At 58.7% G+C, this 27,660-nt stretch overlaps 1 protein-coding gene and 1 long non-coding RNA gene across 12 annotated transcripts in view, besides 2 other annotated features; one reads left to right on the forward strand and one right to left on the reverse strand.

Moving 5' to 3' along the window:
- ELFN1 (extracellular leucine rich repeat and fibronectin type III domain containing 1) overlaps nucleotides 1–16,221 on the forward strand; it is an 81,883-nt gene extending 65,662 nt beyond the window's left edge. For all 9 annotated transcript variants that reach the window (NM_001394188.1, XM_006715725.4, XM_047420363.1 and 6 more), the window contains one exon: nucleotides 12,579–16,221. In NM_001394188.1, the coding sequence (NP_001381117.1) occupies nucleotides 12,872–15,358 (2,487 nt within the window). In that variant the 5' untranslated portion in view covers nucleotides 12,579–12,871 and the 3' untranslated portion in view covers nucleotides 15,359–16,221. The remainder of the gene's footprint in view (nucleotides 1–12,578) is intronic.
- Nucleotides 1,188–1,689: an enhancer, noted in NCBI's record as "H3K4me1 hESC enhancer chr7:1772549-1773050 (GRCh37/hg19 assembly coordinates)". NCBI's record gives its function as "activates a minimal SCP1, AML or CMV promoter by ChIP-STARR-seq in primed H9 embryonic stem cells {active_cell/tissue: H9 hESC(primed)}" and the evidence as "EXISTENCE:reporter gene assay evidence [ECO:0000049][PMID:30033119]".
- Nucleotides 6,905–10,585, reverse strand: ELFN1-AS1 (ELFN1 antisense RNA 1). 3 transcript variants are annotated; one of them, NR_120510.1, is made up of 2 exons: nucleotides 10,484–10,585; nucleotides 6,905–7,477 (listed from the first exon to the last, which is right to left on the reverse strand). It is a non-coding gene; the product is annotated as an ELFN1 antisense RNA 1 (long non-coding RNA). The 3 variants fall into 3 exon arrangements; NR_120509.1 differs by having other exon boundaries at nucleotides 6,905–7,613; NR_120508.1 differs by having other exon boundaries at nucleotides 6,905–7,810.
- Nucleotides 11,379–11,428: an enhancer, noted in NCBI's record as "active region_25499". NCBI's record gives its function as "activates an Ori minimal core promoter by ATAC-STARR-seq in GM12878 lymphoblastoid cells {active_cell/tissue: GM12878}" and the evidence as "EXISTENCE:reporter gene assay evidence [ECO:0000049][PMID:35858748]".
- Nucleotides 16,222–27,660: the final 11,439 nt, after the last annotated feature.

Below are 27,660 nucleotides of genomic sequence, written 5' to 3' on the forward strand. Positions count from 1 at the left end.
ACTGCAATCTCCGCAGGAGAATCAAACGATTCTCCTGTCTCAGCCTCCTGAGTAGCTGGGATTACAGGCCCCCACCACCACGCCTGGCTAATTTTTGTATTTTTAGTAGAGACGGGGTTTTGCCATGTTGGCCAGGCTGGTCTGGAACTCCTGAGCTCAGGTGATCTGTCCGCCTCGGCCTCCCAAAGTGCTGGGATTATAAGCATGAGCCAGGTGCCTGGCCTGGTTGCCTTCCGTTATAGGCAGCTATGGAGTTAATATTTCCCTGAATTCATTCAGCATGCACTGCCTACTCAGTGCCTGGAAAGGAAACCCCAGCTCCAGCCCTACCTGCCCCGAGCTTTCGGTGCAGAAGGTGGACTCTAGGTGGAGATAGATGGGAATCAGAGCCTGGCAGCGTGGGGTCACAGCGGAGCAAGCACAGGCAGCCCCGGTTACAGAGGGGAGGTTCCAGCCCCAATCTGGGGGCTGAACAGAGAAGCCCACTGAGTGGGGGAACATTGGGGTGCTGGGAGGGGTTCACGTCCCAGGCAGAGGAAACAGCATGTCAGCAAAAATGCAAGAAGTCCAGGCGAATCACAGCCTCAAATGGCAAAATGAGAGCTGAGAGACAGCAAGGACCCTCACTGATGCCCAGTCAGCCCCTTTAAGAAGTGCGGACTCTCTCCAGGGTACTGGGGAGCCACGTAAGGTTGCAGGGGGTAGGAGGAGAGGCAGGAGATGCTCCAGCCTGGGTGGAGATGGAGCACCAGAAATCAGCCCGAGGGAATAGATTACTCAACATAGTGTCAGGGCAATTTGTTGCCTATTTGGGGGAAGGGAGAAAATCAATTTTGATCCTTCTTTACACCAGAAAAATAGTCTGCAGGTGGATTGACAGTTAAATGTAAGAATTCAAACAGTAAAGAGGTTGGTAGACAGAGGCGGGTGTCCTGTCTCAGGATGGCATGGAGTTCCCCGAGCCGCAAAGCAGGGGAAGGCCATGTCGGTGGGGAGAAATATGCCCCACGGAGCTGATGACAAGCAAGTCAAAAGCAAGCATCTCCAGGCTGTGGCAGTAGCTTTGTCTGCAGAAACCTCTTTCCTGGGAAGTGAGCTCAAGCCACAGTGGGGACGGCGCTGAACAAGCTTCGGGGAAAGGCTGTGTGATGAGGTCAAGAGACATCTCATTTTTCTTTTCTTTTTTCTTTTTTGAGACAGAATCTCACTCTGTCACCCAGGCTGGAGTGCAGTGGCACAATGTCAGTTCACTGCAAGCTCTGCCTCCTGGGTTCAAGCGATTCTCCTGCCTCAGCCTTCCGAGTAGCTGGGATTACAGGCACCTGCCACCACGCCCGGCTAATTTTTGTATTTTTAGTAGAGATGGGGTTTCACCATGTTGGCCAGGCTGTTCTAGAATTCCTGGCCACAAGTGATCCACCCACCTCGGCTTCCCAAAATGCTGAGATTATAGGTGTGAGCCACCGCACCCAGCCCACATTTTTATTTTCACAGCTCAGCCAGATCCAGCTGAGGTTCCTTGGCAGCCGGGACACCAGTCCCCGGGACACGCAGTGCCCGACAGGTGGCCTTGGGGAGTGGAAATGGTGTGACCGTGTGAGCGAGGGCTGGTGGCCGGGGAAGCCTCCAGAGGGAGTGACAGGCCTCTCGGGTGCTGATGGGCGTGGGGACAGCAAATCCCTTCCCTGTCCTCTTGAGGCAGGAGGAGCCCTGGGCGGTAGGACAGTAATTGTCTCGTGGTGTTATGTCAGCATCCCTGGGGTTATGATAGAACTTTCTAGTAACAGACAGGAGATAGCACCCCTTCCGACTGTGGAAACATCCTGGTCACTGAGCAAACCGGGCTGGGCCACTCCCTGCCTGGGGCGGCCGCATCCCAGCCCCGTCCCAGCCCATCTTCCGTTGCTGAAACCTCCTAGGCTAGACTTTGCTTGATCATTTATTTCCCTTATTAGTTTAACATTTGAGGGCTAATTGCTCATTTCTAACCTTCACCCCAAAACCATGCCCCAAATCTCTAGCACAATTAACAGCAGCCAGGAAACACAGATTCAGTCATTGTGGTAATGGTGCTGTGAGGCAGGATCTGTGCTTGCAGACAGCCCACACGCCTGTGCACCTGCGCCTGGGGAGAGGGGAGCCAGGCCTCAGCTCCCCCAAAGGGTCCTTCCAGCATCTTAGCAGGAGGTCCTGTTCTACCACTAGGCTGTGACCCCCGGTCAGAACAGGGACAGAATCTGCAAGCTTGAGATCATCAGAAAGGCTTTCCCAGAGCTCAGGGGCTCCTGGAGGTCAGGGTACTACTAGGAAGAGAAGAACCAGCACCTGTCTGCCTTCAGTCTCAAACCAGCCATCCCTGAAAGCAACTGGAGAGATTCAGGTCAGACTAAAGATAGAACTTCCAGCTGCCAGGGTTATGAGGGCGTGATGAGGAAAGTGCCAGGCATCCTTGGACACCTAGACCCTTGCCTGGCATAAGTGATGCGCTTTCTGACGGTGGTGGGAGGGGGACCAGTGTTCCTGGAGAGGGTCATTCCTCCTCTCCCGGGGCCAGCCAGCTACCCGCACCCCACATCCCTGCCAGCGCCGGAGCAGGGAACCATTGCAAAGTGATTTCTCCCTCCAACGGCGCCACACATCATGTTTTTTAATTTAAAAGATGCCCCGTGGAAGCATAACAGACCATTAAATGTTTGAGTCTCTAATTAACTCCAGAGCAGCCCGGGGCTGCGAGCCCAGAGGTAGGATGGCAGAATAAGCCTGGTGTATCCCAGGAGGCAGCACTCAGGGCCCCAGCCCCAGCCCTGAGCCCTCCCCGCTCTGGTCGGGAGGAGGCAGAGGGGACCAGGCACCCCCTTCCCGACCTTCCAGGGCCAGGGCCTTGGGGAGGGTCTGTCTCACCCAGCCCTGGGCTCCCACTCCGGGGCCTGCCTCTGCATATTCTGGGGTGAGGCAGGAATCTGCATTTTCACTTTTTTTTTCTTTTTTTTTTTTGAGACAGGATCTCTGTCACCCAGGCTGGAACACAGTGGCACAGTCATGGCTCACTGCAGCCTCAACCTCCTGAGCCGGTGGGATCCTCCTGCCTCAGCCTCCCAAATAGCTGGGATCACAGGCGCACGCCACCACACCCGGCAAATTTTTTTATTTTTTGTAAAGATGGGGTCTCACATTGCCCAGGCTGGGTTCGAACTCCTGGGCTTAAGCCGTCCTCCTGCCTCCGCCTCCCAAAGTGCTGGGATGACAGGTGTGAGCCACTGCGCCCGCTCCGGGAATCTGCATTTTTAAGTAGCAGTGGAGTGCTGTTGCCGCCTTCCTGGGCCTTGCCGTGGGGGAGTCTCAACTTCCTGGCTAGACTTTCCCATGCTGAGCCTCTGTTTCCCCATCTGTCCAATTGAGGTAACACTAACCTTTGCCTCCCTGAACCCTGGGGAGGGGCTTTGCATGCGGGAGGTGCTGCACACCGGCGGACCGTCGAGGAAACAGGAGCTTTTCTCTGTTGCACACTTGTAGGGTGTTCCTGCTCTTGGGGGCAGGGCAGGGGGAGCCCTGCAGCTTCCATGAGTCGTGTGGATGGCCCAAGGTCACATGGTAAGGTCGTCAGGCACTCGGCACCGTTCCCATAGCCCCTTGACCTTCCCCAGCACTCACCGAGTCCTCACACAGTGGGGACGTGGTGCAGGCAGCAGTCCCCTCCGTTCTACTCCCCAGCCCGGCCTCCTGGAGGGCAAGGCGGAGGTCAGGGGCCTGCTAGACCCAACCCTGCGGCCATGTCCCCAGGAGCCAGCCCCGCCGAGTCAGCCCTCCCAGCCCTGGCCTTGCCTGCAACCCCCGCCAGCCTCCCCTGGACAATAGGATGGGAGCAGGGAGCGGAAGAGAGGACTGGGTCTGGGGGAGCCATGAGGGAGCCCCCAGAGCTGGTGAGATCCCTCAATGGGCCCCCCTCTGTGGGCACCAGGTCCGGCAACTGTGCTGAAGGAAAACCCACATATGTCCAGCGTGCGGCTCCATCTCCCATACTGCCTTGCACTCACCTTCCCTCCCCTACTGAGGAGGAAATGAGTGTCTACTGGGCACCCCCTTGTACCCAGCATCATGCCAGGAGCCTTCAGTAACTGGTGATGCATCCCCCACCACAACCCTGGGAGGCGGACACCGTGATGATCTCTGTTTGACAGATGAGGGGACTGAGGCTAAGAGAGGTTAAGTGACATGCCCAAGGTCACACAGCAGGCGCACGGCAGAGCCAACACCATCTCCTGGCCCACGATGGTTCTGTGTCCCCTGACGCAGCAGGTGCACAGGCGGGCCCCCCACCTGCTCCTAGCTGGGCCGGGTCACCGTGGCAGGCCTTGCGGCTCGAGGCCCAACTGCCCTGATATGCCTATCACAGCCTCATGGGCTCTGCGGCAGAGCCCAGGGAGACAGACAGGGCGAGAGCCAAGCTGCAGAGGCAGGCAGACGTTAGCAGTAAACATGATCTATCGGCAAAACATTGGAACGATGAAAAGTTATCGATCTATAGCTTTCCAACCATCTCCCCGCCTCCCCCACACGTCTGGCCCTCCGCCCACCTTTCCCCCTGGAGCTGGAAACTTCGCTCCATCAGCAGAATCCTCAGTCCAGCCCCGGCCCCGGCCCCACACCAGCCCTGGCCTCTTGTCTGGTTTAAATGATCGAGACGAGGAACAATATTTTTAGACAGATGCACGCCCGTCCCAGCACGGCTGTTGTGATTATGCAAATTCAGTCGTAAGAAGTTTAAAAGCCTGGAACCACCATATTTCTTGATTTCATTAGTGATGACACAGGCCGCGGAAGGAACTTGGTGCCCACCTCACACGCACTGTCCCCATCGTCCCCTGGGGGACAGCGGGGTGCTCTCTGCAGGGGGCAGTGTGTGTGAGGGTGATCACGAGATGTCATAAGGGCTCCAGCTGGGGAGACACCAGGCGCCGCACACAATCCCAAGAGTCCTTGGAGGCATCTGGTTCAACAATTTCATGTTAGGATGGGGGAAACTGAGGCCTGGAGGTGGGAATTGGAGACCTGGGACTCTGGCTCTGGCCCGGATGCCTGGCCTCTCCTGCTGTGGCCAGCTCTCCCAGCAACTCCAGTATTCAGACGGGAGAGGGTCTCCCAGGAGAGGGTTCTCAGGGAGCAATGCTGCACTCTCTCCTCCCACCCCTTCTGAGCAGAGAAGCCCAGGGAGGGGAGATGATCCAGTTAAAGAACAGGCTCCTCTCCCAGCACTCAAGCCCTTCCACCTGCCCCCAGCTACCCCTGCAGCCCCACCTCCCGCCCAGCATTGCCCGCCACTGCCTGTGCCCTGGACACCCCACACTCCCTGGAGGGGCCTCCTGCCTTCATGGCTCGAACACACCCCCTCTCCCTGGGATGCCTGTTACCCTCCTTCCCTAACTCCTACTCTTCTGCTGGGGCCCTTCGAGCGCAGCTCCTGCCAAAGCCCTGCCTGGTTACACCCCGTCTCGCACACCTCCCTAGCCCAGCCAAGCCTCCTCTTTCCCTGCAGGCCCCACGGTGGTCTGTAAGTCCTTCAGGGGCCCCGTGGTTCCTAGATGTCCAGTCCCTGGCAACCCACCTTCAGTGGACAGAGCAAGGCCAGGAGATGAACACGGACCCTCCTGCTCCGGGTCTCGGGGGCACAGCAGGCGGTAGACTGGCTGGCCCCTGGCTCTGAATCCCAGCAGATTCCAGCTGGAGTCGGGGTCTTTTCTGCTGTCCGAGGCGGGTGGGTCCCACTCTCAGATGCGAAGCCACTCGCCCTCCACCCATCCAGGAGAGAGAGCTTCTTCGGGAAGGTCAAATGTGCTTCAGACTCCGTCCTTTTGAGTGTTCCCTCCACCTTCAACGTTCCCTGAAGTGGCCAGCTCATTCCATCGGGGGCATTCCCGCTCACACCACCTCCCCGCAGCCCTGTCCTCTGCGCCAGCTCCTGCTTGAACACCCCTGCTGATGGGGGGCTCACTACCTGCCACAGCTTGTTGGACAGAGCTGGGTCCCAGGAGTGCTCCTGTTTCCAGAGGCCACTGGTGGTTCCTGCCCCTTCTCCACCCTCCAGACAGGCCCAGAGCCGAGCACATTTCCAGGGTCACCTGGCCTAAAGTCTGACCCCGTTCTCTGTTCTCCCGGCTTCTGTGTCTGTCCCCCTGATCAGCACTCTCTGTGAATAGGGTATGCCGGCCACCCCTTCCAGCTCCCTCCAGGCCCTGCCTGTGGGAGGCAGAGCTGTCCCAAGGTGGAAGCCTGGTAGGCTCAGTCCTGGGACAGGCAGATGCCCCCAGGACAGCCGAGGTCCCCGTGCGACAAGCAGACCTCGCCAGCGGCTGTGAGTGAACGCAGCGGTTCTGGGAGCCCATTTCCCCCGCTAGCCCAGGCGACCCTGGCCAGTCCCTTCACTCGAGGGGCTTCCCACCCAGACCACGGAGGGCGCGTGGTCCCATGTCCCATGGCGTGGCCTGTGGTGCTCTTGTGGCTGCCCAGGGCCGGGCACGTGGAGGCCTCTCTCCATCTGGGTGAGGGGCGTCAGACACTGAAGCTGGTACGGATGTGCACAGACCGATGAGACCTGGCGGGGTATGGCCCAAAGCTGAGATGCAGGACCCCCTGTGGGTTAGGGTTAGGACCCCCTAACCCCCTGCGGGCATGTCATATCTTTCCTGAGGGGGTAACAGGGAAGCATATGGGCTTGATCAAACATGAAGTGGATGGCCGGGTGTCGTGACATACACCTGTAATCCCAGTGCTTTGGGAAGCTGAGGCAGGAGGATGGCTTGAGCCCAGGAGGCCAAGGCTGCAGTGAGCTATGATTGTACCACTGCACTCCAGCCCGGGCAACAGAGCGAGACCCACCTCTTTAAAAAAGTACAAAAGGAAGTTAATGTTTGTGAGAAACCACAAGCTCCCTGGGAGGAGTGGTCTTTACTCCCATTCAACGGAAGAGGAAGCAGAGCCAGCGCATCCCAGCCCGTGCGCAGCGTGGCCCGAGTCTGTCCAGTCCTGGCTGCTGGGCACCGCGCCGGCCCTGGGATGCCACAGCAGTGACCAGGACACACAGCTCCTGCTCTTGCAGTGGCAGGAGGAGCTCCAACATGAATTAAAAGTAAATAACCAAGCAGAACATCAGGGAGAGAGAAGGGCCAGGATTTAAACTAGGTGGGGGCTGAGAGTGAATTCGGGGTGCAGAGCAGGGAGGGCTCTTGGGGCAACGCTGCTGCGTCTCGGAGTGAATGACAGGAGGGAGCTTCCCAGGCGGAGGGGCGGCTGGTGCAGGTTCTTCAGCCAGGAAGGGGGCATGCACCAGAGGACTGGGAGTGAGAAGGAGCGGAGGCCCATCCAGTGGGCCCTGGAGATTGTGTCTGGAGGCCGGATTCTCCTCCACGCGTGGAGGACTGGACGCCCTCAGGGCTGCGCGGGGCCGCAGGACCGCCTTGGTGGTTAGCGAGGCTCCCTCTGGCTGTGGAGGGAGAATGGATTGTGGGTGCCAGGAGACCAGGTGGTACCTTGGGCGTCGTCCCCGCTGGAGGTGGGTTTGGGCGGTCGTGGTGGGAGTGGAGTGATTCCAGATGCTTCTGCAGGTGGATTAGATGCTGCTGGAGTTGGACCAGGTGTGGGGGGAGGAAAGAGAGGAGTCCAGAATGCGGCGTCAACTTTTGGTGTAGGAATGTGGCGGATGGTGAGGCAGGGAGATGCCAGCGGGGACGGGAACTTGGAGCAGCCACTTAGACGCAACGGGGGAGAATCTTCAAGTCGGGGGCAGCCGAGGGCCTCAAGATAGACCGAGGGTCAGCTGCACAGAGACAAGAGCACGGGGCACAAGACCCCCTGGGAGAGCTGGGGAGAGGAGGCAGTGAGGACCGAGCCTGGCCTGGAACATGTGGAGTCGTGGGGAAGGTGAAGGAGGCTGGACAGAGAGGGCGGTGGCTGGGATGCTGGAGTGGAGAGGGCGGCAGGAGGGAGCCAGCAGCTTCCTGGGCCAAGGGCTGCCGAGAGGCTGAGCAAGACAAAAATGGGCCCTGGCAGGGCAGAGGTCACCGGTGGCCTTGGTGAGAGCGGCTCAGAGGGCCCGAGGGGGGACGCCCGGTGGGGCGGGGCTGAGGATGGAAGAGGAGGTGAGGGAGGGGGATGGAAACTGCTGGCGATCCTTCCAAGAAAACCTGCTGCAATGAGGCAGAGGCTGGAAGTTACACAGGTCAAGTTGGTTTGTTTTATGGAAGGTTCTAGAACTACGAGTTCCAATACGGCAGCTACTAGCCACGTTTCTGGCACTCCAGAGCCACAGGGGACCCGTGGCCACCCTGTTGGACAGCGCAAGTACAGAACCTCTGTGCATCCAAGAAAGTGGTGTGGGCAGGATGGCATTGCAGAGGGCTGGAGGTATCAGACCTGAGGGGTGCCCATTCCAGAGGCGCCACGGCCTCTGTGTCTCCCTGAGGCAGGAGGCCAGGCCCTGGGAGCAGGTGCAGATGGGCTGAGAGGAAGGGAGCTCCTTTCAGGCAGTGGGGAGCCGCCCTCCTGAGGGATGCCTATTGCCCTCCCTGGGGCCTTGTGGTCCACGCCCATACGAGCCTCTGGGTCTGAGGCAGCAAGTGTGCTGAGGAGGGGACCAGGGCTGGAGCTGGGTCTGTGAAGGACAGTAACGCCCATGCGGGGTCTCCGCACCTGCCCTCCGTGCCAGACAGCACTCCTTTCTAGAAATGTTGTTTAATGATCGGATCGCTGGACGTGGGGTGCAGCGGCAGGTGTGAGTGCGGATCAGCGAGGGCACAGGCTGGCGGGGCATCGAGAGTGACTTGAGTGAGCGAGCCCAGCTGGAAAGGGCTTTGGGGGGGCCTGTGGTCTGTCCAGAACCTTCCTAGGTGATTCGGCCTTTCCCTGTTTCCTGTGCCAGGTCCGCAGCCTCTGCCCTTGGGGACTCCTGGACCCGGGCCACCCCCCGAACCCCTCCTAGCACAGCACCTGTCCAGCCTCTCCCCCCCGGCCCCTGACAGGAGGCTGCACAGGGCTGACTCACAGTGTGACTTCGGACAAGTCCTTCTGTGTCTGTGCCTCAGTTTCCCCGCTGTAAAGTGAGCTGCAGAATGAAAACTTCGGGGCCCCTTGGCTGGGCATGGTGGCTCACGCCTGTAATCCCAGCACTTTGGGAGGCCAAGGCAGGTGGATCACCTGAGGTCAGGAGTTCGAAACCAGCCTGACCAATATGGTGAAACCCTGTCTCTACTAAAAGTACAAAAATTAGCCGGGCATGGTGGTGTGTGCCTATAATCCCAGCTACTTGAGAGGCTGAGGCAGGAGAATCACTTGAACCCAGGAGGCAGAGGTTGCAGTGAGCTGAGATTGCACCACTGCACTCCAGCCTGGGTGACAGAGCAAGACTCTGTCTCAAAAAAAAAAAAAAAAAAAGAAGAAAGAAAACTTTGGGGTCCCTCCAAAGCTGGGGGCCATAGAGGGGGCAAAATCTGTGCCTCCTAAGGGGCTGTGGGCCCACCCTTCCTCCCTGGCAGGGCGCTGGCCACACTGGGAAGTCGTGCCCACACGCCCTAAAGATCTCCCTGCCCAGGAGACTTGGCAGCGAGGCCAGGCTGGGGGTGGGGGGAGGACTCCCTGAGCCCCTGCAGGCCAGGCTGCTGCTCACCTGTACTCTGGGGCAGGGGCCGAGCAGGAAGGTGAGGGCTGGACTCTGGGCTGGGGACGGCCTGCCTCCCTCATCACACAGGCTCCCCAGCCTGATGGAGGAGGGCTCAGAGCTGGGTGGGGAGGTGAGGCTGCGTTCCCAGCACCACTCCCAAGGAGTCTGATGCACAGATTCTTATACTCACAATGGGGGGAGTGGGGCATGGTGGTACGGAAAGGGCTGGCAGGGGATGAACCAGGTGAGCCAGGAAGGGGGAGAGAGTGTGGCACCCAGCCAGGCCCTGGAGATGTCAGCCACCGGTGCACACTTAGAGCGTGTTTCCTGCATGCATGCAACATGCCAGACATACAGACCCCCGTGCATGTGTGAACATGAGGAGGAAATCTGGGGGGCTCCGAGCTGCACTACCGAGGTGCCACCCACACCTGCCTCCACCCAGCCCCAGACGCACCAGAGCCCCAGGCCTCGCTGCCCAGACAGGGGGTCCTCAGTGACACCTGCTCTGCCCAGGGCCCCAGTGAGCATGGCCTGCGCACTCATGTACACAATCACCTGCCCTGTGTACACACCTGTGCACACACATCTGTACACACACACAGACAACCTGGCACACACATACGAGGGCTCACGTGTACAAACACGTGTGTGGGTGGACACAGGTATACATGTGTCCACAAACACACATGCACACACACACACGTGAACCCCATGTGCATGCAGCCCTCCAGCCCTCAGCTGCGGGCCCAGGAGAGCCGGAGCAGCCCCAGGCCCCCAAGCCTCCTCCCTGTGCCTGTGGTGAGGGCTCTTAGGCCCTGTAATCCTCCTTACCTTGACTTTGGGTTATTTTGAGCAAGAGATTAAAGGTGATTACGATTGTGGCTGAGGCGCCACGCTTCCTACACGCTTCCTGTGCGGCCGCTGGCCAGACCCGCCCTTCCGGAGGCCGGGCACAGCCGGACGCCATCCGCCCCATGCCCTTGGCCCGCCCCCGGCCAGCACGCGCCTCTGCCTGAGACCTGGGCCCCCAGGAGGCTTGGGAAAGCTAAATCCCAGCATTGGCACAGGTTGTCTGGGCACGGTGCAGGGATGGTGGGGAGGGATGGAGGGGCTGGCGTGGGTGCGAGCTGGCAGGTGCACACGGCATGATGGTGACCAAGACAGCGCTGACTCCCGTGATGGTGGATTTCACATCCAACCGGACCACGTGGGGACCCCATTTTCCCTACCCAAGCAGCCCCCTGAGCCATTTTTGAGTGGGCCTAGCCAGGTCCTGCCCGGCTGGGCTTGGCGTCCCCTGGCCACTCCAGGCCAAGCCCTGGGTTAGCTCCCCGAGGCCCGCTAGGACCTCGTTGTAGCCCCCATGCCGTCTGACTTCTCCCTCTCTTTAAATCAGAAATAGACTCTTCTCCAGGAGCCGGAACAAAATTGTTCTTTATGAAGTTTCCAAAGGGAGGAAAAAACCCATTTTACATCATTATATTTTTTTTCTCTAATTTAAACCGCTTCAGTGCAGACTAGTTGCAAACGTCAATATCAGTGAAATACACCCAGCTGGCTGCCCGCCAGGCCACGGCTCGGTGACAGAGGCCGACTGTAAATCCACATATTAACAAGCAAACACACCCATTTCTCTATCCTGCAGGGAAAACACAGGCGGCCGGGAGGTGAGGTCGCACACCAGGGGCCCCCTTATCTCGAGGGTAGTGGTGGGGGGGTCCATGGGGGAGCAGGAGCCCAGCGGGATGCCTCGCTCCCCGGACGTACCTCCAGCCCCGTCTGCAGGGTCCTTCCTGCCTGGGGCTTCCCCGCCTACAGCTCGGTCGCCACATCCTCTGTGTCCAGGCTCAGCAGACACTAGGCAGATGGAGGAGGCACCGTCCTGCCTGGAGACCCTCAGGGTCCAGTGGAGGCTGAGGAATAGAGCAGAGGACCCCGTATGGTGGTGGGGAGGATGGCAGGAGAGGCATGCGGCTCCCCCAGGGACCTCGGAGCTGTCCCTCTCCCAGCCTGAGGAGGATGTGTGGAGCCTGGAAATTCTCCGCAGAGCAAGCAGTTCCCTTCCTTCCAGAAGGGAGGTGGCCCCTATCCACCAAGGTGAGGTGCAGACAGTGCCAAGTCCCAGTGCCGGGTAGACGCCCTCAGAGACCATCCAGCTGGCTCATTTGGGGAAACTGAGGCCCAGAGGGGGCACAGCGTGCCAGGGACACAGGGCGGGCGAGCTCAGACCGAGACCTGGCAGACACGAGTCCCCGGACAGGCCAGAATACCTCCCGGTGCCTCCCTCCCAGAGGGCTGGAGAGGAGCCCGCGCCCCGGAAGGATTCTGTGTTGAGGGCTGCGGACCCTGCGGTGAGTGCGCAGGGTAGCTCCTACAGGCGGCTCCAGGGGCGTTGTGGCCGGGCCTCCTGGGAGCAGAAGCCCCAGGTGACAGGCACCGTGCCCAGTGAGGGCCTTCACACGCACATCCCTGGCCGCAGCCAGCCGGCGGAAGCCCAGTCACTCCTCAGCCAAGCGACTTTAGGTCCCAGTCCCCTGCCTCAGTTCCCTTATCCGACCGGGGTTGCGCCGAGAGTGAAATGGGCTTCAGGGACCTCGATTCTGGGCTGTCAGTACCTTGGAACATGGCCAAGCAGGCAGTGCCCCGTCCATTTTGCAGATGAGGAAACTGAGGCCGAGAGCCGAGGAGACCCCTCCACGGGAGGGTGAAGCATTTCCTCCGCTATCCTGACCTGTCTCAGGACCCCCCAGGGGCTTCTGAGGAAGGAGCTTCTGTTTTTTCTGTGTTTTACAGAAGAGATTCAGGGGGCTCAGCGGAGCAGGGACTCAGGCCACATTGGGATGCCGCCGCTGTGAGATGCCGGCCGTCCCCTGACCGCTGTCTTCTCTCTTGTCCCCTGACCGCTGTCTTCTCTCTTGTCTTGCAGCAGGAACGTCGGAGCAGGAGGAGTCAGTGGAGCCATCAGGACACCCAGGCCCATGGGGCAGGAGGCCTCGGTCACCACAGGACTGGGGCGGAAGACGAGAGGCGGCCGGCCGTGAGGGAGGCGCCCTCCCTCCCCGCGCTTACGTCGCGCGGCCATGCGGTTTGGGACAGGACACCCCTGAGAGTGCAGGCACCTCCCCCTCCCGCCCCTCCATCCCTCTGGGGGCTGGCGCCTGGCCCCCCACCTGGTCCCCCTGGGCAGGCTGAATTGGGGCTCCCTGCAGGGCGGTCCCGATGGCCGGGCGTGGGTGGGGCGCGCTGTGGGTGTGCGTGGCGGCCGCCACCCTGCTGCACGCTGGCGGCCTGGCCCGCGCAGACTGCTGGCTGATCGAGGGCGACAAGGGCTTCGTGTGGCTGGCCATCTGCAGCCAGAACCAACCCCCCTACGAGGCCATCCCACAGCAGATCAACAGCACCATCGTGGACCTGCGGCTCAACGAGAACCGTATCCGCAGCGTGCAGTACGCCTCGCTCAGCCGCTTTGGCAACCTCACGTACCTCAACCTCACCAAGAACGAGATCGGCTACATCGAGGACGGCGCCTTCTCGGGCCAGTTCAACCTGCAGGTGCTGCAGCTGGGCTACAACCGGCTGCGCAACCTCACGGAGGGCATGCTGCGCGGCCTGGGCAAGCTGGAGTACCTGTACCTGCAGGCCAACCTCATCGAGGTGGTCATGGCCAGCAGCTTCTGGGAGTGTCCCAACATCGTCAACATCGACCTGTCCATGAACCGCATCCAGCAGCTCAACAGCGGCACCTTCGCCGGCCTGGCCAAGCTGTCGGTGTGCGAGCTCTACAGCAACCCCTTCTACTGCTCCTGCGAGCTGCTGGGCTTCCTGCGCTGGCTGGCCGCCTTCACCAACGCCACACAGACGTACGACCGCATGCAGTGCGAGTCGCCGCCCGTCTACTCCGGCTACTACCTCCTGGGCCAGGGCCGCCGCGGCCACCGCAGCATCCTCAGCAAACTGCAGTCAGTCTGCACCGAGGACTCGTACGCGGCTGAGGTGGTCGGGCCCCCACGTCCAGCATCCGGGCGCTCACAGCCGGGCCGCTCCCCGCCGCCCCCGCCTCCGCCGGAGCCCAGTGACATGCCCTGTGCCGATGATGAGTGCTTCTCCGGGGACGGCACCACGCCACTGGTGGCCCTGCCCACGCTGGCCACGCAGGCCGAGGCCCGCCCCCTCATCAAGGTCAAGCAGCTCACTCAGAACTCGGCCACCATCACCGTCCAGCTGCCCAGCCCGTTCCACCGGATGTACACCCTGGAGCATTTCAACAACAGCAAGGCCTCCACCGTGTCCAGGCTGACCAAGGCCCAGGAGGAGATCCGTCTGACCAACCTGTTCACGCTCACCAACTACACCTACTGCGTGGTGTCCACCAGCGCCGGGCTGCGCCACAACCACACCTGCCTCACCATCTGCTTGCCCCGGCTGCCCAGCCCGCCTGGTCCGGTGCCCAGCCCCTCCACGGCCACCCACTACATCATGACCATCCTGGGCTGCCTCTTCGGCATGGTGCTGGTGCTGGGCGCCGTCTACTACTGCCTGCGCAGGCGGCGGCGCCAGGAGGAGAAGCACAAGAAGGCCGCCTCGGCAGCCGCAGCTGGCAGCCTCAAGAAGACCATCATCGAGCTCAAGTACGGGCCAGAGCTGGAGGCGCCCGGCCTGGCCCCGCTGTCCCAGGGCCCGCTGCTGGGCCCCGAGGCCGTGACGCGCATCCCTTACCTGCCTGCGGCCGGCGAGGTGGAGCAGTACAAGCTGGTGGAGAGCGCGGACACCCCCAAGGCCAGCAAGGGCAGCTACATGGAGGTTCGAACCGGGGACCCTCCGGAACGCAGGGACTGTGAGCTGGGCCGGCCGGGCCCCGACAGCCAGAGTTCGGTGGCCGAGATCTCCACCATCGCCAAGGAGGTGGACAAGGTCAACCAGATCATCAACAACTGCATCGACGCGCTCAAGTCCGAGTCCACCTCCTTCCAGGGCGTCAAGTCGGGGCCCGTGTCCGTCGCGGAGCCGCCGCTGGTGCTGCTGTCCGAGCCGCTGGCCGCCAAGCACGGCTTCCTGGCGCCCGGGTACAAGGACGCCTTCGGCCACAGCCTGCAGCGGCACCACAGCGTGGAGGCCGCCGGGCCCCCTCGTGCCAGCACCTCGTCCAGCGGCTCCGTGCGCAGCCCCCGCGCCTTCCGAGCCGAGGCCGTCGGGGTGCACAAGGCCGCGGCCGCCGAGGCCAAGTACATCGAGAAGGGCTCCCCCGCGGCCGACGCCATCCTCACTGTGACACCCGCGGCCGCCGTGCTGCGGGCCGAGGCCGAGAAGGGTCGCCAGTACGGCGAGCACCGGCACTCGTACCCCGGCTCCCACCCGGCCGAGCCACCTGCGCCCCCCGGGCCACCGCCGCCGCCTCCGCACGAGGGCCTGGGGCGCAAGGCGTCCATCCTGGAGCCACTCACCCGGCCGCGGCCCCGCGACCTCGCCTACTCGCAGCTGTCCCCGCAGTACCACAGCCTGAGCTACTCCTCCAGCCCCGAGTACACCTGCCGGGCCTCCCAGAGCATCTGGGAGCGCTTCAGACTGAGCCGCCGGCGGCACAAGGAGGAAGAGGAGTTCATGGCCGCGGGCCATGCCCTGCGCAAGAAGGTTCAGTTCGCCAAAGACGAGGATCTGCACGACATCCTGGACTACTGGAAGGGCGTGTCGGCCCAGCACAAGTCCTGAGCCCCCCAAGACCGGCGATGCCCACTGGACCAAAAAGGATGCAGGATCCACCCAGAGACTCAGCACCAAACCCAACACACGCACGCCACCACAGCAACTGTGACAGCGGGGGGCCCTGCAGAGGCGAGGGGGGAGCGAGTGGGGACAGACAAGGGGGACACGTCCCGAGCTCCTGTGGCCGGTCCTGGGATGCGCTTGTCGCCCCGGGTGGCACGTGTCCACACACACACACACACACACACACACACACACGAGGGACTTCGGAAAACTGTGTCTTAGGGATGGGGGGTGGGGGTGGGGATTTTTTTTTCATTATCTTTCCTCTTTTGAGTCTTCTCTGCCTTTTCTTTTCCTCTCTATCTCTTTACTTTCTTCCTTTTTTAAAAAAATATAATAAAAGACAAGTTATTTTAAAAAGACATAAAATGCCATCCGTGGGGGGTGTGGCCGGCGTGGCCACCTCGGGGCCCCTCACGTGATCTCCTCGGTCCGTGGTTTTCTGTGGATTCTCTGTCCAGTCCGTCTCTTCATTGCCGCCTCCGGAGTCCACTGCAGAGGGGCAGAGTGAATGCCGGCGGCCAAGTGGCCTCCGGGACAGGTCCTGGAGCCCTGCTGGACTCAGGGTGGGTGGAGGCTGTGCCTGTGGACGGCCGGGGTGGCCAGGACGGCCAAGGGCTGGGAGGCACGTCCCCCAGCCCAGCCCCCATGTACACTGTAGTCGTTCTATTGTACAGAAAAAAATATTTCTATATTTGCAATGTTTGCTGTAAAATGAGAAAGAAAAAAAGACTATGTCTACTAAAAAAAAAAAAAAAAAGACTATGTCTACTTAAAAAAAAATCTGCAAAGGAAAACAAATCAAATGCTTGTTTGTCCTGGGTTTTTACTGTGGGTTTCAGGGAAAGAGTTGAGGTTTCTTTTATGTCCCGTTTAGGGGGTGGTTTTACTGATTTTGGCCTTGGGGTGGGGACACGCTGTGCTCTCTTGGCTAGAGCGTGGTGTGACCAGGGGGGTGCACGTGGGAACCCTTGGGAGGTGGGCGGCCCGCACTGGGCTGGAGCGTGTCTGAGAGCCGGTGTGGACAGGGTAGGCGGGAGCCAAGCTCAGGTGGCGGCGGGAGGACGGGCGGGAGCAGGGTCTTGGTGTGGTGGATCCACGGTGCGGGGCTGCTTCTGTGTGTGTCTGGCTGTGCGTGCCAGCGGGGTGTGTGCAGAACCCAGCAGCCGAGGGGGTGTGAGTGGGCCTGGGACGCCCAGAGGCTCTTGAGTGAGGTTCCGGGTGAGCCGATGGTGTGGGTTTGCATGTGATTGAGCGTGAGCGTGAGGTGGTTGGAGGGTGTGTCTGTGTGAGGGCGGGTTCCCCTGCTGTCGCCAGAGCCCCACCTACAGGAAGTGCCCAGAGACCCCTAATTCTTCGGGGGTCTCTCAGGACGCTGAGCCCGGAGCCAGACCCTGCACTGCAGCCCCCTCCATATGCATCTCACCCACCACCCCTCCAGGCAGCACGCCCTGGTGTGGGCCCCCGTTCTGAGTGAATAAGAGGCTGGAGTCCATGTGGGACGAGCACCAGGTTGTTTAGCATCCCCAGGGGAGGATGGAGAGAGTCCCTGGCTTCCTGCTGCCCAGAGCACAGGGTGCCCCTCATCCCACCTACAGGAGCCAGAGGGAGACGCTGAGGACGAGACTGGACTCCCAGGCCCTCGAATCCACCTGCCAGCTGAGTGGGGGTTTTGTACCCACCCCAGGGAAACAGCCCCCAGCCCTGCATCCCACGCAGAGCTGCCTTTCTGCTCAGGGGGAGGGCCCTGTGAGGAAGGGGAACACCTCACCCTGGGCCCGGACACCTGCCTGATGCCGGGACTGCTGAGTCAAAGCTCCCTGTCACCCCTCTCTTCCTGTCTGGATGGCCCCTCCCCTGTCCTTCCTAAAGTCCCGGCTGCTGAGCCCCCACCCCACCCCTCCATTGATGGCAGACCCACCCCCACTCTGAACTCTGGCACAGACCCAGGGAGGGAGGAGGCTGCGGCTGGAGCCGGGTCCCAGAGGCAACAGGAACCCGGGAGACTCCAGGGCAGGAACCGGAGGGATGAAGCCGGTTTTCAGGCTCTGACGGGTCCCCCAAGAAAGGACCCAGTCTCAGTCTGACCCAGTGGGGGACAAGGAGGGAGGGAGGAAGGGCCAGTGCAGGTAGGAGCAGGGGCAGCCTCTGCTTGCACGCCCTGGGTGACGGGAAGCTCACCCCTCTCTTCTGTAGCTGTCTCCAGCTTTCGGGACCTCCCTTACAGCAGAAGCCCAGGGGGCTGTCCCCCAGGGGCCACAGAACTGAGGGCCCATCTGTCCCCTCCAGGTTAGCCAGCCCGATCCTGCCACCTGCACCCCGGTCACCCCACCAGGGACCTGAGAGTGTGAGGCCTGCTCCGGGGGTGCACGCCCGGGTGGGCTCCACGGGCACCCTGTGACTCAGCCCTCCAAAGGGGGCCATTTCTGAGGACGCTGCATCACCAGCTCTTCGCCGTTTGACCCAAGGTTTCTGGCCAGCCCGGGACTCTCAGCCCTGGGCAGCTCCCTGTCCTCCATGAGGGGTCCCGGGAGGGCATGAGAGACCGCTGGAGACCACAACGCCAGGCCCAGGGGAGAGGAGCGGGGACCAGGAGCGGGTTCCAGGGCTGACGGGTGGAGGCCCAGAGAGGGCCCCAACCTGCCCAAGGTCACATAGCAACTCGATGACAGTCTGGTCATGGGACAGAGAGGTGGCCAGGCCTTCTCAGCCCGCTGCTCCCTTTCACTGAGGAGCGAAGATGGGCTATTTATAGGAAATGCGGGAGAAGGGCAGACACAGAAGAGAGGCGCCTGCCTTGGGAACACCGGGCAGCTGGCCAGGAGTCAACGGCCCACAGAGGAACAAGGGAAAATGGCAGGCAGCGAGGTGCGGGGTCCTCAACAGCCAGGACACCCCGCCCGGGAGCTCAGCCCTCCTGGAAGCCGCGGGGCTTGGCCCCGAGTGTCTGCAAACGCCCAGCCAGTCCTGGGAAAAAGAGGCCCGAGTTCCCGTGCCCTTGCTTGAAGGTGTCATGGTGGGGGTGACAGGACATAAGCAGGAGGAGACACACACTTAGGAAGCGGCTACTGTGTGCAGGGCTCTGTGCCAAGCTCTGTGTGGGCGCAGGGAGGAGCCCAGCCCGGCCCCGGCCCCCCGGGGAGCTCACAGGCTGGCAGAGAACTCAGTGCAGAGGTGGGTGACCCGGCTCAGGGCAGCAGGGGAGGCGCTGGAGGTCTGGGAAGGATGGGAACTCCTGACTGGGAAGAGCCGGGAAGGCTTCCTGGAAGGGGTGGTATTTGGTTTGGGCGAGGAAGGAGGTGGAGGTTGCCAAGGTGAGAGGGGTTGGTGCCCTGTGGGCTCAGAGCTGGGCTCAGGAGCAGGAGAAAAACCTGCCAGACCCAGCCTTGCCCTGCAGCTGGGATGGGTGCCCAGCTTCCGAGGGGCAGCCCTGGAGGGCAGGTCTTGCTCGTTTGTGAGACCAGGGCTAAGCCACAGCGAGGCCTCAGGCCCAGGCCGTACCCCTACGACCGTGTGACCATAGCAAGCCACTGGCCCTCTCTGCCTCAGTCTCCTCGTTTGTCCAGTGGGGGGGATGCCGATGCCTGTCCCTCCTGCAGTGCACTGGTTATCCATTGCCGTGATCATGCTGCCTAACCCACAACCACAGTGCGGTATGGCCCCTCGGGGGGCGGCTGGCAAGAGGGCACACTCTCATGTCACGGGGCACAGGGAGGACCGGGTTCTTCCCCACAGTCTCCCATCCTCCATCGAGCCAGCACGGGCTGGTTCTTGCGGCGACAGCCGAGGGAGCAAACCCCAGGGTCACATCTGCTGGCATCCCACAGGCCAGGGTGAGCCGCGGGGCCGAGCTCAGAGGAAAAGGGTGGACAGGGCGCCCCAGCCCAGGGGCCTGTGGCCAAGGCTGCAGACACAGAGGGCAAAGACAGGGGGGGCCTCTGTGCACCGAGGCCTAAGGCATGGCTGAGTCCAGGTGTCCCCTCCCGGGGCAGAGGGCAGAGCAAGAAGAGCAGGAAATCCAAGGCCCCAGGTCTCTGCCACCCACGCATTCACTCAGCACCCAAACGCAAAGAGCCTACTGTGTACCAGACACGCTGCCTGCCACTCCCCACCGAGAACACCTCAGCTGCGGTGGCCTACCCTGTACCAGACACGCTCCCCACCAAGAATGTGTCAGCCACGGTCCCGACAGGAAAGAGCAGACACCCCAAAGTAGAATCCTTCAAGGGGTTACCTACAAAGGGGCCATTTCCAGAGACACCAAGCTGACGGCACACCTTGGCCCCCTGGGAGAGGGGGAGGAGGAGAGCCCCCGAACCCGGAGGGAGAGAGAGAGGTGCAGAGAGGCCCACGGGGCCCTGGAGAGGGACCTCAGGGGAAGTTCCCAGTGGGCCTCAGCAGCCTCGCAGGAGGACTGGGGACACATGCCCACCCCCGCTTGTCCCCCGATCTCCCTCCCATCTCCTGCTGGGCTCCCTGCTGGCTGCATGGCCAGGACATCAGGGAGCCCGTGATGGGGCCCGCAGGGCTCAGTCCACAGACAGCAGGGGTGAGAAGGTTCAGAGACAACCCGGACTGGGTGATGGGGGAGGCTGGCCTGGGGGCAGCCACAGAGGAGGGGGCCGTCATCTCCACTGGGGACAGGGAGGCTTTTAGAGGAGGTGATCGCTCAAGACTGAAGGTGGCCGGGCGCGGTGGCTCGCGCCTGTAATCCCAGCACTTTGGGAGGCCGAGGCGGGTGGATCACCTGGGGTCAGGAGTTCAAGACCAGCCTGACTAACATGGTGAAACCCCATCTCTACTAAAAATATAAAAATTAGCCTGGTGTGGTGGCGGGCGCCTGTATTTCTAGTTACTTGGGAGGCTGAGGCAGGAGAATCGCTTGAACCCGGGAGGCGGAGGTTGCAGTGAGCCGAGACGGCGCCGCCGCACTCCAGCCTGGGCGACAGAGCGAGACTCCGTCTCACAGAAAAAAAAAAGTACACAAAGCAACTACAGCAACAACAAAAATCAGACAAAAAGACCCTGAAGGACAATCAGGAGCTGGCTTGGCAGAGACAAGGCGGCAGGGACGGGGAGCGGACTTCCACCCAGAAAGGATGGCGGGGGCCAAGGTGCAGAGAGCACAGACCCCGACCCCACCCAGAGGGGCCACCATGGGGCAGTGAGGGGGCCCGGCCTGCTGAGACCAGGGATGGGGCGGAGCCAGGCTCAGAGGCCTGCTTTGCAAGTGTGAAGAAATGACAGTCGGCCTCTGTGCATAGGAAGCCATTGAAGTCTTCTATTCTATTCTATCCTAATTTTATTGAGACAAGGTCTTGCTCTGTCACCCAGGCTGGAGTGCAGTGGCACGATCATGGCTCACTGCAGCCTCAAATTCCTGGGTTCAGGTGTTCCTCCTGCTTCAGCCTCCCAAGTAGCTGGGACCACAGGTTCGCGCCACCACACCTGGCTATTTTGTTTGTTTGTTTGTTTTATAGAGACGGTGTTTTGCTATGCTGCCCAGGCTGGTCTTGAACTCCTAGACTCAAGTAATCCACCTGCCTTGACCTCCCAAAGTATTGGGATTACAGGTGTGAGCTGCCTCACCCAGCCAGTATGTTAAAGAATAATAACTTTTATTGATTTTTGTTTTATCTCAAAAGTAATCCTTTTGCTACATAAACTTCAGAAAACAGTTAAAGAAGGAAACAGAAATCATTTACTCTCCCCACCCTGAGCTAACCATGGGAATATATTGGTATCTGCCTTTCTAGCCCTTTCTCTCTAGAAATGCAGCAGGCTTGAAATCTCTACCCCGCAGGTGGATATGCAAAGAGGTATCTCTTTATTTTCTGTAACAACAGGTGTTTGTAGCCTCTGTTTCCCCCAGATGGGGTGTAGGGCGTGGTGCATGAAGATGGGGAAATAACGTGTGTTTTAGGATCCAGTGGAGAAGAAAACGTTGATGGCGAACGGAAGAGGGAAAGAATTGCTGGAGCAATGTTTGAGTAAGACGGGACGAGACACTGTGCTCCATGGAAGGGCCGGGCTTGGCCAGACAGGTCTTGGACTTGGCCGTTGCTCCTCCTTAGCGGGAGAGAAGGTGGGGATGTGGGCTCTGGCGTGGGAGCTGGGGGCACACGCGGGGCGTAGGGACAGTCTCTTTGGGTGACTGCGATTTTCTCAGCATCTCTTCTCACCCCATTGCATTGCCCTTTTGTTCTACTTTCTAGGAGTCTTTAAAATTTTTACTTTAAATTTGAGGTAATTATAGAGTCACAGGAAGTTGTAAAAATAGAGTCACCCAGCTTCCCCCAGCGGTGACACCTTACGTAACTGGCGTACAGTATCAAAACCAGGAAGTCGGCTTGCACCTGGGTGTAATTTTGTTAACTAGACTAAGATCTGATTCAGTTCCTAGCAGCCTGTACACGCATTCACCTGCGTGGACGTGTGTGTAGTTCTTTGCAAACTTACCCCCCGTATATAGATTTCAGTAACCACCGCCCCAGTCGAGATTCAGAACTCTTCCGTCACCACAGGGATCTTGTCCCCCCCACTCCACCCCAACGCTACCCCTGCCTGGCAGCCACACATCTCTTCTCCGTTTCTGTCATTTTGAGAAGGTTATATGAATGGGATCATGCCCTGTGTAACCTTTGAGGTGTTTTTCGCCCACTCAGCGTAAGGCCCTTAAGATCCACCCAAATTCTTTTTTTTTTTTTTTTTTTTTTTGAAATGGAGTTTTGCTCGTTGACCAGGATGCAGTGCAATGGCACGATCTCGGCTCACTGCAACATCTGCCTTTCTGGTTCAAGCGATTGTCCTGCCTCAGCCTCCCAAGTAGCTGGGATTACAGGCACCTGCCACCACGCCCGGCTAAGTTTTGTATTTTTAGCAGAGACAGGGTTTCACCATTTTGGTCAGGCTGGTCTCGAACTCCTGACCTCAGGTGATCTGTCCGCCTTGGTCTCTTAAAGTGCTGGGATTACAGGCGTGAGCCACCACCGCACCTCGTCTACCCAAGTTCTTTTATGGGATCAACAGTTTAGTTTGTTCCTTTTCATCGCTGAGTAGTATTCCTTTGTATAGATGACACACCCAGGTTTATTTAACCATATTCACCTGTGGAAAAACATTTGGGTGGTTTTGCACTTTGGAGCCATTACAAATAAACTGCTATGAACATTCACGTGCAGGCCTTGGTGTGAACTTAAGTTTTCATTTTTCTGGGGTTAATGCACAGACATGCAGTTGCTGGGGTGCATAGTAAGTGCATGCTGGCTGCTCAAATGTTTTTCAGGGTGGCTGCGCCATTTTTTATCACCACCACCAATGTATGCGAGATGCAGTTTCTCCACACCCTCACTGGCATTGGGTCGTATCACTATTTTCTGTTTCAGTCGTTCTAATAGGGTGTAGTGATCTCATTGTGGTTTAATTTCTATTTGCTGGTATCTACTGATGGTGAACACCTATTCATGTGAAACCTATTCATGTGCTTATTTGCCCTCTGTAGCTCTTCTTTGATGAAATGTCTCCTTACATCTTTTTTCCCTTTCTCTTCCTTCCTTCCTTCTTTCCTTCCTTTCTTCTTTCTTTTTTTCTTTCTTTCCTTTCTTTCTTTCTCTTTCTTTCTCTTTCCTTTCTTCCTTCCTTCCTTCCTTCCTTCCTTCCTTCCTTCCTTCCTTCCTTTCCTTCTTTCTCTTTTTTGACAGAATCTCACTCTGTCACCCGGGCTGGAGTGCTGTGGCATGATCTCAGCTCACTGCAACCTCTGCCTTCCTGGTTCAAGCAAGTCTCCTGCCCCAGGCTCCCGAGTAGATGGGATTATAGGCACCCGCCACCACAACCGGCTAAGTTTTGTATTTTTAGTAGAGACAGGGTTTCACCATATTGGTCAGGCTGGTCTCGAACTCCTGACTTCAGGTGATCCACCCACCTCAACCTCCCAAAGTGCTGGGATTACAGGCGTGAGCTGCCGTGCCCAGCCTTTTTTCCCATTTTCTAAATGTTTCGTTTGTTTCTACTGTGGGGTCTTAAGTGTTCTTTACATTTTTCTAGAAACGACACCTTTGTCAGATGTGTGCTTTGCAAACATTTTCTCCCTGCCTGTGGCTTGTCTTTTCATCCTTTGAATGCAAGCATTTTTTTTTAACGTTTTGAGGTCTAGTTGATCCATTTTTCACTTTCGTAGATCATGCTTTTGGTACCACATTGCCGAGCCAGTGGTCCTGAAGATGTTCTAGTATTTCTGCTATATTTTATTTTAGAAGATTACAGTTTACTTTTTGCATTTAAATTCGTGGCCTATTTCGGATTAATGTTCGAAAGCGCCGGGATGGTGGGCGTGAGCCAATACGCCCAGCCAATCCCTCTGCTTTTAATAAGTGCCGTCACCTTCAGCTGTGCCCAGTGTCCTTAAGTCCAAAGTGTTCGTGATTCTTCCTTTCCTGGGACTAAATTTCTAAACAAGGACAGCCACCCATTGTGATTGGTGTTGCCTTTTAAACTAATATAATCAGTGAATCTTCTGGACTTTAGCCCTAAGATTTGGACCATCTATAATCAGCTATGTTCTCTCCCACGCATCGAGTATGGTACTATCTATCAACCATCCTTGGCAGGCTTGAGAAAACAGTCACTCAAATCATTTTTCTGAAGGACTTAATTCCTCCCTGGAACTTCAGCTGGGGAAGGCTGTCATGCAGCCTGTCCTGCTGCAAGACGGTGAGGCTTTTGTGCCCTGCTGTGAGGTGGTCACTGACAACAAGCTGCCCCAGGGTGAGGGAGCAGGATCCCTGGGCACCTGCGAGAGGGGTGGTGCAAACCGCCCGAGGAAAACCCTCCAGAGGGGAAGCAGGTGTGAACCTCAGCAGAGACGCCAGGCAGCAGCTGGAGCATGGGTACCCCAGAGGGGTTGGGGGAATCCCACAGCATGTAGGTAGGTCACCAACAGCATCTGCTGCCGACTCACTTTGCACTATTGAAATGCATTTGATTCTCGCATTAGATGGCTTCTATCCGACACAGCTTGCCTGCATTTTAGTTGGTTCACCTGCTGAGACATTTGGAGAGGGGTAGAGGGGTGAACACAAGTACCCACAGGTGTAGTATGCCCAGGCCCAAGACTGAAACCTAACTGTAACTGTAACCATACCATAACCCTAACCATAAGCCTAACTCTAACACCAAACTAACCCTAACCCTAACCCACAGGTGCAGTACGCCCAGGCTGACCACTGAAACCTAACCATGACCCAAACCTAACCATAAGCCTAAACCTAACCCTAACTTAACCCTAACCCAGCCCTAACCCAACCCTAACCCTAACCCCAACCATAAGCGCTCATCACAGGCAGCCTTGCTTTCTCATGCTGATCACGGTCCATTACTCTTGCCAGCTGGTGACTGCTTTCTTTTTTTCTTTTCTTCTTTTTTTTTTTTTTTCCTGAGATGGAGTTTCACTCTTGTTGCCCAGGCTGCAGTGCAATGGCACGATCTCGGCTCACAGCAACCTCCACCTCCCTGGTTCAAGCGGTTCTCCTGCCTCAGCCTCCCGAGTAGGTGGGACTACAGGCACCCGCCACCACGCCCGGCTAACTTTTGTATTTTTAGTGGAGATGGGGTTTCACCATGTTGGTCAGGCTGGTCTTGAACTCCTGACCTCAGGTGGTCCACCCGCCTTGGCCTCCGAAAGTGCTGGGTTTACAGGTGTGAGCCACCGCATCCGGCCACAGGTGAGTGCTTTCTTTGCTTGTTTCTATCTTGGTAAAAGGAGCTCAGGGTAAACAGGTAGCATCTACCACGTAATCAAACCCAGGTTCACCTGCTTGCTGTTATTATAGGAGGCAAAACTTGGGAGACGGGTGCTGGTGGGAGGAAAAGCAGGCGTATTCGGAGGGCCAGCCGACCGGAAGGACGGTGGACTAGCGCCCTAAACACCATCTTTAGTCAGCACAAGTTTCAGCCTTGGTTTATGTTACATGTGGGGGAGGGTGGTTGGGACCAAGAGGTGACTGATGACCACAGACATCTGGGAGCCAGGGAGGGTCCAAGGATGCTGGACACTTCTTAGTCCTTGACCAGGTCACAGTGCTCCTGTAAATCTTTAACAAAACCTAGTTATCTGTTTATACAGCTCCCTTTAATCCCAGAGTTAGTTTTAAAAGTCACATGATTGCTGTTTTTGCATTTTTGCCTCAGTGCTCTAAAACTATCCTAGCCTAGGTGCAGAAGGAAAAGTCCCCTTAGAAAACATGGAGTCAGTTGGCTGTTTCGCTGTTGCAATCGTTTTAAATGTAGTGGGACGTTTAAAATAGAGACACAGAGACGGTGTTTTGTTATGTTGCCCAGGCTGGTCTTGAACTCCTGGACTCAAGTGATCCGCCCGCCTTGATATCCCAAAGTACTGGGATTACAGGTGTGAGCTGCCTCGCCCAGCCAGTATGTGAAATAATAATAACTTTTATTGATTTTTTTCTTATCTCAAAAGTAATCCTTTTGCTTGTGTCCCCTGGTGGAAGTCTCTTGCCTCTGGGAGCCAGGATCCTGGGAGCCGCGGAGCCTAAAGTTGTGGGATGGAAAGCAGACATTCCCCAGGTGGGTCACCAGTGGTGACGGACCGTGGGGTCACCCCCGCCTCCTCCCGTCTGGCTCTCGGGAACCTGTCTTCTATTCATTGGGGAAACAGCCCTGTATAAATAGCACCACCGTGTCAACGTGTAAGCCACATGCCGAAGGACGTGTCCCTGTCTTCACAGCGTCATCTCCAAGCAGGTCCCCTTGCTGTCATTACAATTCCACCCACCACTCTATCCAGCTGGCAGTTTTGGGGTGCTGTACTGTGTGGTGGGATCAGAGAATCCCGGGGTCCTGTGCTTACCGACTCACCTTCTCCTCCATAAAGCGGGTCCCTTAAGCCAGAGTGAGGTTAGGTGGGTCCTCGTGCCAGCGCATGAGACACTCCATGGGCCTTGGGGTTGGTCCTGGCTGAATCCCAGGTAGCACGAGTCCAGGCCGGAAGGAGTCCACTGAAATCCACTTGCCACCACCACCAAGAGACGGCCTCATAGCGAGGTTCAGACATTTGGCAGTGGCAGAAGCTAGATGAACCCTGGTGAGGGGAAGTTCTTGCTATTGGGCCCTGCAGAACCTCCCTCCCTGCTACCATGGCTGTGCCAAATAAGAGCCACCGCACCAGCACTGAGTGGTCAAGGGCGATGCTGGGGTGGCCAAGGGTGGAGACTGGGATGGCCGAGGATGGAGGCTGCTGGCTGAGGATAGAAACTGGGGTGGCCAAGGATGGAGGCTGGCTGGCTGAGGATGGAGGCTGGGCTGAGGGTGGAGGCTGGCTGGCTGAGGATGGAGGCTGGGCTGAGGGTGGAGGCTGGCTGGCTGAGGGTGGAGGCTAGCTGGCTGAGGGTGGAGACTAGCTGGCTGAGGGTGGAGGCTGGGGTGGCTGAGGGTGGAGGCTGGCTGGCTGAGGGTGGAGGCTGGCTGGCTGAGGGTGGAGGCTGGGGTGGCTGAGGGTGGAGACTGGCTGGCTGAGGGTGGAGGCTGGCTGGTGTCCCGGCATGAGCCATCCTTTCCACCTGGTTTCTCAGAGCCTCGTCTGCCGTGGGCTCCCTCTGGTGGGTGCCACAGTGAGCTGCAAAGATTCTCGTACTTTGCGCCCACTCCTGCAGGTCCCCCATGTCTCTTCCAAAATTATTTGTCCCCAGTATTCCAATCTTGCTCCTTCCGCCTCCCCAGCCCAGCAGCCACGCCATTTGCCGCTGCTCATGAGTCCGTGTGGATCCCTACCCTGCGTCCCTTCTCTCTGCACAGGGGAGCGTGGCCTGGTGGGCTGCGTGCTCTCAGCTCCCACAAGCCCAGCCTTCTGTCTCTCATCAGCCCATCTTTGAACCCACAGGCGTGAGCTGATACAGAGCCATGGGAGAAACAATCAGGAGACGCTGGCGTCCGGGCCATCCTTCTGTGTAGCTGGCCAAGCCCAGTCCTGCTGATGGGCCAGTGTGTGCCCGTGGCTTGTTGGGTTTCTCAGCCCCTGGCTCAGGGCCGGCAGCCTGCAGGCGGCACGGTCACTGGACACCCCGTGGTTAGTTGCCCGGCCAGGACCAGGCCCCCCAGCACGCCAGGAGCTGCTGTTTTGGAATTGGATGTGGTTCCCCGCTGCGGCGTGGCCCTGCTCGGGGACTCCGGTCTTGCCCTGTGCTACGGAACTGCACTGTGCCTGGCCTGACATCCTACCCAGCACACTC

This window comes from Homo sapiens, chromosome 7, assembly GCF_000001405.40.
Source record: "Homo sapiens chromosome 7, GRCh38.p14 Primary Assembly".
Lineage (NCBI taxonomy): Eukaryota > Metazoa > Chordata > Mammalia > Primates > Hominidae > Homo > Homo sapiens.